The sequence below is a fragment of the Homo sapiens genome, chromosome 2 (assembly GCF_000001405.40).
Source record: "Homo sapiens chromosome 2, GRCh38.p14 Primary Assembly".
Lineage (NCBI taxonomy): Eukaryota > Metazoa > Chordata > Mammalia > Primates > Hominidae > Homo > Homo sapiens.
The window spans coordinates 140942866-140957436 of NC_000002.12; the positions used below are offsets into that span (position 1 = coordinate 140942866).

Sequence of the window (14571 nt, forward strand, 5' to 3'; positions counted from 1 at the left end):
CTACATAATCAAGAGTACAAAGCAAACTGCTAATAGCACCATGATAGAACGAAAATCTCTTATATCAATATTAACCTTGAATGTAAATAGTCTAAATGCTTCACTTAAAAGACAGAGTGACTAATTGGGTTTAAAACAAAACAAGAACCAACTTTCTGTTGCTTTCAACAGACCATCTCCCATGTAATGAGACACATAGGTTCAAAGTGAAGGGATGGAAAAAGATCTATCACACAAATGGAAAACGAAAAACAGCAGGGATTGCTATTCTTGTATCAAGTAAAATAGACTTTAAACCAGCAACAGTAAAAAAGGGCAAAGAAGGGCATTACATAATGATAAAGGGTTCAAGTCAACAAAAATACTAACTTTCCTAAATATACATGCACCCAACATTAGGGCACCCAATTACTTCTAGATGTAGGAAAAGACTTAGACAGCTACACAATAATAGTGGGGGACTTCAATACCCCACTGACAGCATTAGACAGACTGTGAAGGCAGAAAATTAACAAATGAATTCTGTTACTCAATTAAATGCAGCACTCAACCCATTAGATTTAATAGACATCTACAGAATACTCCACTCAACAACCAGAATATATACTCTTCTCATCTGCAGTCAAACATAATCTAAGATCAACCACAAGCTCAGTCGCAAGTCTCAATAAATTTTTAAAAAATCAAAATCATACCAAGCATCTTCTAAAACTATAGTGAAATAGAAATAGAAATCAATAGCCAGAGGAACTCTCAAAACCACCCAATTACATGGAAACTAAACAACTTGCTTCTAAATGACTAGTGTGTAAACAACAAAGTGAAGGCAGATATTTAAAAACTTCTTTGAAACAGATGAAAAATAGAGATACAGCATACTAAAACCTCTGGGATTTGACAAAAGTAGTCTTAAGAGGAAAGTTTATAGCACTAAACATCTACATCAGGAAGACAGAAAGATCTCAAATTAACAATCTAATATGACACATAAGGAACTAGAAAATCAAGAACAAATCAATCCAAAGGCTAGCAGAAGAAAAGAAATAACTAAAAATCAGAGCAGAACTAAAAGAAATTTAGACTCCCAAAATACCATACAAAGGATCAGTGAAAGGAAATGTTGGTTCCTTGAAAGAATAAACAAGATCAATAGGCTACTAAACTAATGAAGAACAAAAGAGAGAAGATCCAAATAAGCACAACCCCAGAGGACAATGGTGACATTACAACTGATCCCATAGAAATGCAAAAGACTCTCAGGGACTATTATGAACACCTCTGTGTGTACAAACTAGAAAATCTAGAGGAAATGGATAAATTCTTGGAAACACACAACTTCCTAGATTAAATCAGAAAGAATTTGAAACCTTGAACAGACCAGTAACCAGTTCTGAAGCTGAATCAATAATAAATACCTTACCAGGCAAAAGAGTCCCAGACCAGATGGATTCACAGTCAAATTCCACCTGACCTACAAAGAAGAACAGGTACCAATCCTACTGAAGCTATTCCAAAAAACTGCAGAGGAGGGACTCCTTTGTAATTGATTCTACAAAAGCAGTATCATCCTGATACCAAAAATCAGATGCAATGAAAAAAGAAAATTACAGCATAATATTCCTAATGAACACAGACACAAAAGTCCTCAACAAATTACTAGCAAACTGAGTCTAGTAGCACATTAAAATGTTAATCCATCGTGATCAGTAGGCTTTATTCCTGGGATGCAAGTTTGGTTCAACATACTCAAATCAATAAATGTGAACCACCACATAAACAGAATTAAAATAGAAACCATATGATCATCTCAATAGATGCAGAAAAAGCCTTTGATAAAATCCAACATCCTTTCATGATAAAACCTTCAACATACTAAGCAACAAAGGAATATTTGTGAAAATAATAAGAGCTGTCTATGACAAACCCACAGTCAACATCATACTGAACAGGCAAAACCTGCAAGCATTTCCCCTAAGGATTGGAACAGGATGAGGATTTCTAATCTCACCACTTCTATTTAACATCGTACTGGAATCCCCAGAGAGAGCAATCAGTTAATAGAATGAAATAAAAGGCATCCAAATAGGAAATGAAACAGTCAAATTATCTGTCTTAACTGATGATATGATTTTATCTAGAACCCCTAAGCCAAAAGGCAACTAGCCCAGATAAGTGACTTCAGTAAAATTTCAGGATACAAAGGCAACATACAAACATTAGTAGCATTTTTATACACTAATAGCATTCAAGCTGAGAGATAAATCAAGAATACAATCCTATTTACAATAGCTACAAAAATAAAATATCTAGGAATACATCTAACCAAGAAGATGCTGAAAGAAATTAGAGATGACACAAACAAATAAAAAATCATTTCATGCTCATGGATTGCAATAATCAATATTATTAAAATGTTCATACTGCACATAGCAATCCACAGATTCAACACCATTCCTATCAAAACACCAGCATCAATTTTCACAGAATTAGAAAGCCATTCTAAAATTCATATAGAAAATAATTCCAAATAGCCAAAGCAACCCTAAGCAAAAAGAATATAGCTAGAGGCATCAGATTATCCAACTTCAAACTATACTACAAGGCTACAGTAGCCCAAACAGCATGATAATGGTACAAAAATAGACACACAGATCAACGGAACAGAATAAAGAGCTCAGAAATAAAGCTGCACACCTACAGCTGACTGATCTTCAACAAAGTCAACAAAAATAAGCAATGAGGAAAGGACTCCGTATTCAATAAATGGCGTTGGGAGCATTGGCTAACCATATGCAGAAGAATGAAATTGTAGCCCTATTACTATATACAAAAAAAAATAAAAACTCAAGACAGCTTAGAGACTTAAATGTAAAACTTTAAACTATAAAAATCCTAGAAGAAAACCTAGGAAGTACTCTTCTAGATATTGGCATAGGCAAAGAATTTATGACTAAGTCCTCTAAAGCAATTGCAACAAAAGATATTTATAAGTGAGACCTAATTAAACTAAAGACCATTTGTCAAGCAAAATAAACTGCCAACAGAGTAAACAGACAACCTGCAGAATGGGGGCAAGTCTTTGCAAACTACACATCTGACAAGGAACTAATAGCCAGAATTTATAAAGAACTGAAAGAAATCAATAAGAAAAAAACAAGTTCATCAGAAAGTAGGCCAAAGACATGAACAGACACTTCTCAGAAAGAAGACATGCAAGTGGCCAGGAAACATATGAAAAAATGCTCCACTAATAATCAGAGAAATGCAAATCAAAACCACAATGAAATAACATCTCACACCAATCAGAATGGCTATTATTAAAAAGTCAAAAAATAACAGATGTTGGTGAGACTGTGGAGAAAAGGGAACACACAGACACTGTTGGTAGAAATGTAAATTAGTTCAGCCCCTGTGGAAAGAAATTTGGACATTTTTCAAAGGAGTAAAAACAGGTTCAGGGGCAGTGGCTCACATCTGTAATCTCAGCACTTTGAGAGGCTGAGGTGGATGGATCACCTGAAGTCAGGAGTTTGAGACCAGCCTGGCCAACATGGTGAAAACCCATCTCTATTAAATATATGAAAATTAGCTGGGTATGGTGGCTCACACCTGTAGTCCCAAGCTACTTGGGAGGCTGAGGCATGAGAGTTGCGTGAACCCAGGAGGTGGAGGTTGCAGTGAGCTGAGATCATGCCACTGCACTCCAGCTTGGGCAACAGAGTGATACTCAGTCTCAAACAAGAACAACAACAACAACAACAAAAACAACAACAACAGAACTATCATTTGACCCAGCAATCTCATTACTCGGTATATACCAAAAGGAAAATAAATCTTTCTACCAAAAAGACACCCATACTTGTATGTTTATCACTGCACTACTCACAGTGGCAGACATGGAATCAACTTAGGTTGATTCAGTGGTGAACTGGATAAAGGAAATGTGATACATGTATACCATGGAATACTATGCAACCATAAAAAGGAACAAATTATGTCATTTACAGCGACATGAATGCATCTGGAGGCCATAATCCTAAGTGAATTAACACAGAAACAGAAAACCATATATTAGATGTTCTTACTTGTAAGTGGGAGCTAAACCTTTGGTACACGTGAACATAAAGATGGGAACAATAGAGTCTCCAAAATGGAGAGAAGGAATGTGAGCAAGGGCTGAAACACTGCCTATTGGGTGCTATGTTCACTATCTGGGTGACAGAATTAATAGAAGTCCAAACCTCAGCATCATGCAAAATACTCTTAACAATAAACCTGCAAAAGTACCCCCCGAATCTATTATAAAAATAAAATTTAACAAAAATAAATTTTTGAAAGTGATTTTAGAGAGAATACATATTGAACTTAAATTTAGAAATTTTCTGAAACGAAGATTATATATGGAATGTTCCATTTCCCAGTTTCTCCTCCTCCTTTACTATTAAAAGTCAATTTAAGTGTATTTCTACCCTTTTGAAAACAATTTGAGTTGAGAGAAATTGCACCATATGCTCTGCTTATCCATGCAGTGTAAAGCAAAGTGCTGAGCAATTATATGGTGGATTTGATCAGTTTTGACAGCCAGTCTTGAAACTCAAGCCAGAATCCCCTGCTCTTTCTTCCACAGCAGGTTTGGGGACTGAATTATATGACTAATCAAAGCGAATTTCTGCTTTACTTCGGCAATGGCTCACAAATTCTGCACGTGCAAATGACTTTGCTGATCAGCTTTAACAATCTGTGTCATTTTACAACTTCTATACCAGAATATACAATCAAAAGAATAATGAATAGAAATATTTAAGTTCCACTTGAAATCCTTTGAATTGTCTTTTACCAAAGTCATCCTGGAATGTTAACTTTTCACAATTCCTCCACCTTGTATTCACCACGTAGAATATTTGATTAGGGAATCCTAGTAAAATGTATAATCTGATCAATACAAATTAGTTCAAGAACTCTCTTCATTCTTTGCTTGAAACATGTCAAGGAGTCATGTGGACTAACTGGATCATTTCCATAATTATACAAGAGATATATGCCATTCACATTGACAGTATACCCATACAGTAATCTACTAGTGAAAATGAGGTGCTCTAAATAAGGCCATTAACATTAAATAGCCACTGCTTCTACAATAGTGAAACCTGAGTTACTATCTACAGAGCCTACAAAGAGGTGTGCCACTAACTTTGGACACTCATGAGGGAAAAGCAATCTTTTAAAAATTTCATAATATGTAATGATCGTTTAAACTTAGTGATAAATGCACATGCAAGAGAAGGATGTGAGCTCACATCTGAGATGACAATAAATTAACTTTAGGGCAATTTAGATTTCATAGCACATTATGGAGTAGTGTCAGCAGACCACAGACGCACACCCCACGAGGAGCCTTAAAAGACATCTGTGAGGAAGGAAAAATACTGTTTACATTTAAAATGTTATATAATGATGAAATGTCGACCACTCTTAGATGAATGTTTCAAATATTGGCAAAAAAAGAAAAACTTTACATATACTTTTTCTTTTTTCACTCAATATTAATGATAGGCAAAAAGTTCTAGCTCATATATACTCATGCAACAACTAAATAGAGAAATGGACACAATAATGAGCTAGAGGTAAAGAGAGAAGAGTGAGGTCTTGAACTTATTACATAATGGAGAATGAGAGATAATATTAAATGGTAGCTTTATTGATAATGCATTCTTCTGATTTTGAAGCAAAATTGAATTCAAATATGCTTATGTTAAATCTTATAGGATGTCACAAATAATTTCTTCGTTTCTGTTTTTATTATAATTTCTACGATGTCCATTGCCAGAGAATGACAGGAATCATGTCAAGACCATCAACCATGAGAACTTGTGTTTCACTGCCTCAGGGCCTATAGGCCATTGTTTAGCCATATTTGGATCTTTACTATGACTCTTATAATCCAAGTTCTCCAGGTAAATTAAAAAATCACACAATATGTATTTTAATACATCACTCAGGGAATCCGCAGAACAGCTGGGCTTTTTAAAAACCTAGTATTGTAGATAATTTAATAACCACTGTTTTAAGAAGTTACAGTTTAAAGAGAAAGAGGGGAAACAAAAGACAAAAGGAATCTATGTGGGAGAAAACAATTTAGACACTGTCTATCTTATAGGTTGACAAATATTGCAGAAGACAAACATATCTGTGTAAAACACTTTGAAAATGCTTTCTTTTGCTCATGGAGTATATGATTCCCCTACCCCTCCACACTAAATAAATTACTTTGTTGCTTGTTTGTTTACGCTGATATTTAAACTGAGCAGATGCCATATGTTTTCATCCTTTTATTTATTCTTTAGTCCTCAATAAATATTTGTGAGATAAATGAAATAAATAACATCTTTCAGTCTCTTAGCAGAAAAAATTCTGTTAAAATAGTACTAATTGTATGATTGCTTGACAGTCTAATGATTTTTTTCTGTAAGATTTCCAACATGACTTTTAAATTATTAATATGCTCTATGACTGATCATATTTTGCAAAGTAAGCCAGGCGAATGACAGGGTTATCATCCCCATGGATATGTTGAGAGCCATGGTCATAATCTCCTTCCTTTCTTAGCTTGTACTCTAGAAAGTCAGTCAGTTGGAAATACATCCTCATTTAATCAGGGATTATTTCAAACCTCATGTAAACAAATGTTGTATGGAAATAAAAGTAAAATTATTCCTTTCTTTTTTTTTTATATATTTTCTTTTTCACTGTTGAAATAGTTTTAGGGTTTGGATGAGAATAAAGAGAGTAAGTATGCCGGGCGCGGTGGCTCACACCTGTAATCCCAGCATGTTGGAAGGCCGAGGCAGGCAGATCACGAAGTCAGGAGATCGAGACCATCCTGGCTAACATGGTGAAACCCCGTCCCTACTAAAAATACAAAAAATTAGCCGGGCATGGTGGCAGGTGCCTGTAGTCCCAGCTACTTGGAGGATGAGGCAGGAGAATGACGTAAACCCGGGAGGCGGAGCTTGCAGTGAGCCGAGATGGCGCCACTGCACTCCAGCCTGGGTGACAGAGTGAGACTCCGTCTCAAAAAAAAAAAAAAAAAAAAAAAAAAGAAAAAAAGCAGTAAGTAAAGCATTGAGTAAATGTAGGAAACAAAGACCACAGAAGGCATAAAGGAATAAGGAGGTATTGAGAGGAGAAACCAAAGGGAAAAAGCAAAGAGGGAAAGGAAAGAGATAGCAAATGATTTTACACAGTTCCACATGTATATTCTTGCCTAATAAGCAATTTCTTTTTATACAATATTCTCTCTGTAATACCCTAAGTATTATTATGCATCAACTTTTAAAATGAGATTTCATTAATTTATAAAATTACTAACCTTCTTTAGTACAATTGATCTGGGCTTCATCACTGAAGTCCCCACAGTCATTGTCACCATCACAGGCCCAGTGGCCTGGGATGCATCTGCCACTGGAACATCTGAACTGATTATCAAAGCAAGAGTGAACACAGCCCACCTCATCACTCCCGTCCCCACAGTCGTCATCTGGAAAGAAACATCAACATGAGGCAGTGAAATCTGAACCATGAAGAAATTTTTTCTTATGAAATATCTAACTGGTTTCTGTTGTTGTTGTTGTTTTTTGAGACAGAGTCTTGCTCTGTCACCCAACCTGTAGTGCAGTGGCACTATCTCGGCTCACTGCAACTTTCACCTCCTGGGGCTCAAATGATACTCCCACTCCAGCCTCCCAAGTAAGTGGGACCACAGATGTATGTCACCACACCCAGCTAATTTGTTTTGTATTTCTTTAGTAAAGATGGGGTTTCGCCATGTGTTGGCCAGGCTGGTATCAAACTCTTGGCCTCAAGCAATCCACCCTCCTCGGCCTCCCAAAATACTGGGGTTATAGACGTGAGCCACTGTGCCCGGCCCTTTGATTTATTTATTTATTTCCTATATAAAGTTGTTTTTTTTTTTTGAAAAATGAATGATAATTGAATCAGTGGAACAACATTGCTGATAAACAGTGGAAGAATTATTTTCATCTTCATATTGCTTCTCCTTTGATTTAATATCAACTGCTAAACTGAGAGAAAAAAATCCTTGACTTTGGATTTTGAAGCTTAATTTCTGTTCCACACAGAAATAACTAACCACTGACTGAATTCATCTATGCACCACGAAACAAGGAGGCAATGGTGACTGTAGGAATTTCATGAAATGATACAACCAATAATATAATTATTGTGGAAGATTATTACTTAAACCTATAGTTCTCATGTCCCATAGTTTATAATTCTATCTTCAATATCCTCCCTTTTTCCCCATTCTCCAACATGAGAACCCACTCTTTACCCCTCCTCCTTGGCTCCTCTGTATATATTTGTACTTGGAAACTGTTGTACAGTATCATTAGAAATGATTTATATTCTTTATTAACAACCATTTCGGGAGGGAGGGGAGAGAGCTGTGAAGGAAAATTAGATCAAATTAAAATAAATGGCTGGGAATGCATTGATTCCTATATAATTAATTTACCTGTATTTGGCATAATTTAGCATAGTAATACAATTGAATATGAGAATAAAATACCATTTGAACATAAGAGGAAACTGACAGAGTTGAGACTATCTGGGTAATTTCATAGCAATGTATAAGCTTCTCCTCCTGAGGTTACACGCATGTTTTATGGAACCCGAGATGTCCAGGTTATTTTCTCAATTGTCCACTTTACTACATGTTTGTAGAATTAGACTATGTCCAACATAACATTTGAAAACAAATCTCTATCACACACCCATGGGGCAAATATTGAGTTCCATTATCTTTAATGCTAATTCCCACTGATGTGCTGCTAGCTGCCCGCTCACCACTTGTTTTAGCCGTTTTTCTTGGCTCTGCAAGATTCCCCTACAAAGTACCTCTGAAGAAAGCCAGGCAGTCCAGACCGCCAAGCCCCCGATCAAATTAGTGCTATACAGTGAGCATTTGGTACTTGCCAGAGTCGCAGTGCCATTTGCTGCTAATGCATCTTCCACTTTTGCATACGAATTGGGTTAGTGGCTCACAAGTTGGGAATTCTGTGAAAGATATAAAAATGTCCAAAAGGTAACATGTTATTGACTGTGCATGACATAATTCGTATCATCTGATAATGTGATCAGAACTCCTTCCCTGTTCTCTACAAAGGCACAGAGGAAATGGCAGATAAACAAATACAGTGACTATAACTTCTTGAGGACATAGGACACACATACTTTTAATATACTTTAAATGAGTGCTTTCCAGTGACTGAAAGCCTAGGAGAATTATTTTATGAAGGATCATTTGGATTCATTATACTGCTAGAAAAATGAATAGATGTCAACTCCATGCACCAAGGGACTCAACATTCACTCAGTGGATAACAGCTATTGGAGCTGTACACTCTGGAGCTGCAAAGTAATGTGTTTATGCTTTAATAGTGGAAGGCCTTTTCTGAATACAGAGAGCCAAAGATGAAAAGTCAGATCTCACTCTGCGTCTGAAAGATGTTAACATTATATGGTGAAAGTTAAAAAAAAAATAAACACAATAAAATCATTTAGGTAAGCCAGTATCACCTAGTTACAAAGAAAAGTATGAAATCTTAGTCTACGAAAAAGAACAAAACAACAACAACAAAAAAAACAAAAAACCGAAAAAAAAATAGCAAAGAATTAGATTTCAAGATGAATTTTACATAATTAAATCAAGAGACCTCCTTACTAACCTTTAGATAATTACAACAGAAAGGCATATAATTAGCATAGAAAAAGAGTTTGAAAAAGAGATAATTAGCCAATTTGAATATCAATAAATCTAAAAGACAACACTGTCATAATAAAATCTGATAATCAAGGTGAATAGCCAAAAAAGAGGGGTAACAGTAGTCAGAGAAAAATATAATTGCTGAACACTTTATCCAAGGAATTTAGAATTGCTTACTAATATGTCCCAGGAGAAAGTTTTATTTTCTCTAATTCATACATGGTGAAAGTTATTCACCTAGAGTTTATTTAAGTTGCTCAATATCAGACCTTTAAGCTCAGGAGAATATGGATAGCATTACAAATCTTCACACACAAGAGCTCCTTTAAAAGATATTTAAAGAAGAAAAATAAGAAATAAGAAACTCTATCAGTTTAATTACATAAAGATAGAAAAAACTGATATACTGAAATAGACCTATGGTCCATATTCTTTTTGTTTGTTTGTTTGTTTGTTTTTGATATGGAGTCTCACTCTGTGGCTCAGGCTGGAGTGCAGTGGCGAGATCCAGACTAATTGAAACCTCTGCCTCCTGGGTTCAAGCGATTCTCCTGCCTCAGCTTCCCAAGTAGCTGGGACTATAGGTGCGCACCACCATGCAGGCTAATTTTTTGTATTTTTAGTAGAGACGGTGTTTCACCATGTTAGCCAGGATGGTCTCGATCTCCTGACCTTGTGATCCACATGCCTCAGTCTCTCAAAGTGCTGGGATTACAGGCGTGAGCCACTGCGCCTGGCCCATATTCTTTAATTGTTCTTGTGACAGCGGAAGCCAATGACATTTTGTGACTAATATTTGTTTTTCCATTTAAGACCACTGACACAGAATCATAGAATATATTTGAGGGAAGACAACGCAGAGAATATTTGTAAAATATTTGTAAATATTTTCAAATTGTATTCTCTGCATTGTCTCAGGGCTGTCAAGAACAACTGATGGCTGAACAGGCTTGACTTTGGCTATTCAAACTTCTCCAGCCAAATCTATTCACATGTTACTCATCAATCAATCAGTCATTTCAATTTTGTAGTTTTGAGCACTATTTTATTTTGGAGAAAAATATATGAATAACAAAAATATATTTCTCTGCTTAAAAAATGGACTAATTATGTCCAATCATTTTAGCTATAAGGCAACTGAAACTGAGAGAAATTAGACTTGCCTAATGATACATGTATCTCCTTAAGGAAAAACAGGTCTTAGAATTCATTTCATGAAGCTCCCCATCCAGCACTCTTTGTACTACACTCTATTACCAATTTCCTATCTCACTTTCCCTTACCATCCATGAATGTACCTAAACCGTTATTTTAATCTCCTCATATTGTTAGCATATATTCAGCATAAGGTTTAAACATTTCTCATACATTGTTTCATTTTGCAAAGGAGTACTTTCTTGTGTTTATCAGAAATGTGTCTCTAAATATTTCCACTATTTTAGGATTCAGTTAACAAGATTTTGTTCATGTCAGCCACTCCTTCGTAAGTTTCTTCTCTTTGTTGCCTAACAAGATAGTGAGAACTCACATTTATGTTTCAAGAATCAGCACGAACGTTGTCCGAAATATGCTTTTGTCCTTAGATAGATAATAACTGTTTAGTGGATGTACTGCAGTGTAGAAGATGTACTGTAGACAAGAATCAAGGCATTTAAACAGAGAATCAACTCAAGTTTTGGTTCAAATGAGTAAACAATAAAATGGGGACTCAGATATGATGAGATCTAATCTTTAAAAATAACATTACATCTTTTTTGACTCTATAATAAGCTAATTTAAATTTTATCTCTCTTCTATAAACTTAGGAGCATATTAATCAATATTCTAAGTTTTGCTAAGAAAAAAATAAATCATCCTAAGCATCTGAAAACTTTTGAAACTGATGATACTTCATCGGTTGGGAAATTTTCCATGTAAATTTTAAAATTATTTCCAACTGTTAGATTTTAACACTAAAAAACAGTCAAAAAATAAAGTGGAAATTAGCTCTGAATATATAAAAAAAGTTATCAAACTAAATTTAAAAATCTAATATTCAGTACATTCAACCTCTAAGAAAATGAGACATTAACCTTCTGCCCACACTGAATAAAACATAAACACATATAATGTAAACGTGTGCTTTAACAATTATATATCATATGTGATTAATTTTTTAATGATAGTTACATCATGTCTCTTGTTGTTAACCTTATAGTCCAACTTAGCTTATGGAGAAAAATTACTGTAGAGAAAAACATTGGGAACTAGAATAAGGCTGAAGGGAAATCACTGAAGAGAGTAATTATTTAAAGAGAGACATGTACAGGAGGAAAGTTATTAATGTTTCATTTCTGTTTCATTCTCAAAGTACTATGACTGAGTAAATCACTCAGCTTCTCTGGTTTCAGACTTCTGGTTTATAATCTTATCTCTTGGGTCCTATAAGTCCTAGAGATCAAGAAGTCAGAAGAGATATCATCTAGAAATGCATAATACCCTGAAAGCATTTAATGTAGCAAAAAGTAGGATTCACCACTTGAATAACTCCCGGGGTTTTCACAGCATTATAATAAATTACCATAATTGATTATTGTGTTTTAAAAACCTCTTAAAATAAATTTAACATTTTTCCTGTTCTTTCATATTAGTGTTAATTTAAAAGTTGAAAATAGCATCTGAATATATGGGTTTATTTCTGGATACCTGCTCTGTTAAAATGTCATTACGAATTCTTATATTTGACAAAGATTTAAATATTACACACAATTTTTTATTTCTTGACTTTGCATAAAAATTCTTTGACTTTGGATACAAATTGCAGGACACTTGCAAGAATTACCTGATTAACTCTGAAAAAGAGAAAAATTATGAACAAAAATGGCTTACATGTCATCAAGTTACAATTATAGAAAGGAAAAGAAAACTATATTTTATCTTGGTAGTTACTTAAACCTCATAGAATATTTAATATGGATTAATGGACTGTTAAAAATCTTCTATTATTACAGGTAGTATGCTCAATTTACCTATTATATGTTTCACTTAAAATTTATTGTCAGGTTATAGGTAAGCTATTATATAAATGGCTACAATTGTCTTTCTCTCAAGGGTAATCGTGATTGGTATGGTACTTATATTTAACCAGTATACAAAGCTTAGAGGAATGTCTCCCAGGAAGGTAGATTTCAAATCTAATTCAGGCTTCTTTCCTGTCTCTGACCTAGGAATTTTCCTTATTCCTCCTCCTTGCCCCCCAAAATAATATTTTTAAGTAATTTGTTAATAAAGTCTCAAAACCTATGCCATAGGTATGTTTGAGATCATGTAACACATGAGCTATATAGATAAATTTATCCTTCAAAATTATGTATGTGGAAATTGCATAGAAGATTCAAGTTAAAATTAATGACAAGATAAGAATATTGTACGAGTCCAGATTTAGGAAAGTATTATCTTCACCTGAAAAAGACAATAATAAACACATTACCTATTATTTATTGAATATATGATACTAGGCTAGCTGTAGATATATTACCAATACACTGATACTCTTGACAATATCCCTGCAATTGTTAACACTAACACCAATTTGCAGAAGAAAACAGTATATCCTGCCTAAGGACATATCACATAAATAGCAAGTGGCAGTAAAGTTTGAATACAACACTCTGATCAATGCCAAAATACATTATTTTTTTCACTATACCATGCTGATTATACTAATACTTTTGAAAGAGTATTTATAGCTTAGAAAGATTTGGGAAGGAATTAAAAATTTAATTCTTCATTCTGTAGTTTACATCTAACATTTAAACTTCAATTCTAATTTTTACCTACCTTATGGTACATAATTAAATATTCTTATGAAAAGTGGTGCTTTTAAAGATTACACATTCACTAGATTCACTGAGAAAATACATTACATTTCTAGATATTGACACTAGTTGTGGCTCCCAAGAATTGGTACTTATATAGGACAGACTTCAAATGATCCAATAGAGTAAATGCATTTTGGAGAAAACGATATGAGAGTAGTGTACCACAAATTGTCATCGTTTTGCCACTCTTTCCTTGCTGTCACATAACAATCTCATTTTATATACCAAGTATAATGCCACATACAAAAAACAAGGCTTTGCGGGCAGGTAAATGTGGGTTCAAATCCTGACTGTATTGCCAATTAATGTGTGATATTGGGTAGTTACCTAACATCTCTGAACAGAGGTCTGTGATTTGCAAAATGGAAGAAAATATCACTGAAATATTTTATTGGTTCAAGATATTTAACTGAGAATTTTATATCAGATAGAGTTCTAGGCCTTAGAAATATACCACCCAGAGTGAATGAATGAGTGAGTGAATGAAAGAGTGCTAGGCACTAGGAATACAATATTGAGTATTCTCATTTTTCAGAGTGCTTACAATCTACTAGGGAAGACATTTGGAATACAATTAAGTGATTTTAATAAATATCTGATAGATGTTATTTTATAGGCAATGTAATGTGTTATTATAGTACACAGCAGAAGTAGCCAAACTAATCTCGGCTATTTATGTATTGCTTCCCAGAGAAAGGGATATAAAACTGATATGAATAATATGTTTGAATTAAGGCACATGAACAAGAGGAGAAGGAGTGCTTCTACAATGTTCCAAAGAAAGAGACAGATTCATGACGGCCCGGAAGTGAGGGTATATACAATGTTTGAGAAAATGAAAGAATTTTAGAAAGGTTGCAATAAGGTATAAGATAGAAGTAGTGAAATAGGCTTGCAAGACAGAGTTGGAAATGATCACTATTTAAA

The 14571-nt window shown here is 34.5% G+C and overlaps 1 protein-coding gene across 3 annotated transcripts in view; it reads right to left on the reverse strand.

The window, feature by feature from the left end:
• LRP1B (LDL receptor related protein 1B) overlaps positions 1-14571 on the reverse strand; it is a 1899594-nt gene that overhangs the window by 711443 nt on the left and 1173580 nt on the right. For all 3 annotated transcript variants that reach the window (NM_018557.3, XM_017004341.2, XM_047444771.1), the window contains exons 19-20: positions 8995-9075; positions 7370-7537 (exon numbers count right to left, since the gene is read on the reverse strand). In NM_018557.3, coding sequence (NP_061027.2) covers positions 7370-7537; positions 8995-9075 — 249 coding nt within the window. The remainder of the gene's footprint in view (positions 1-7369; positions 7538-8994; positions 9076-14571) is intronic.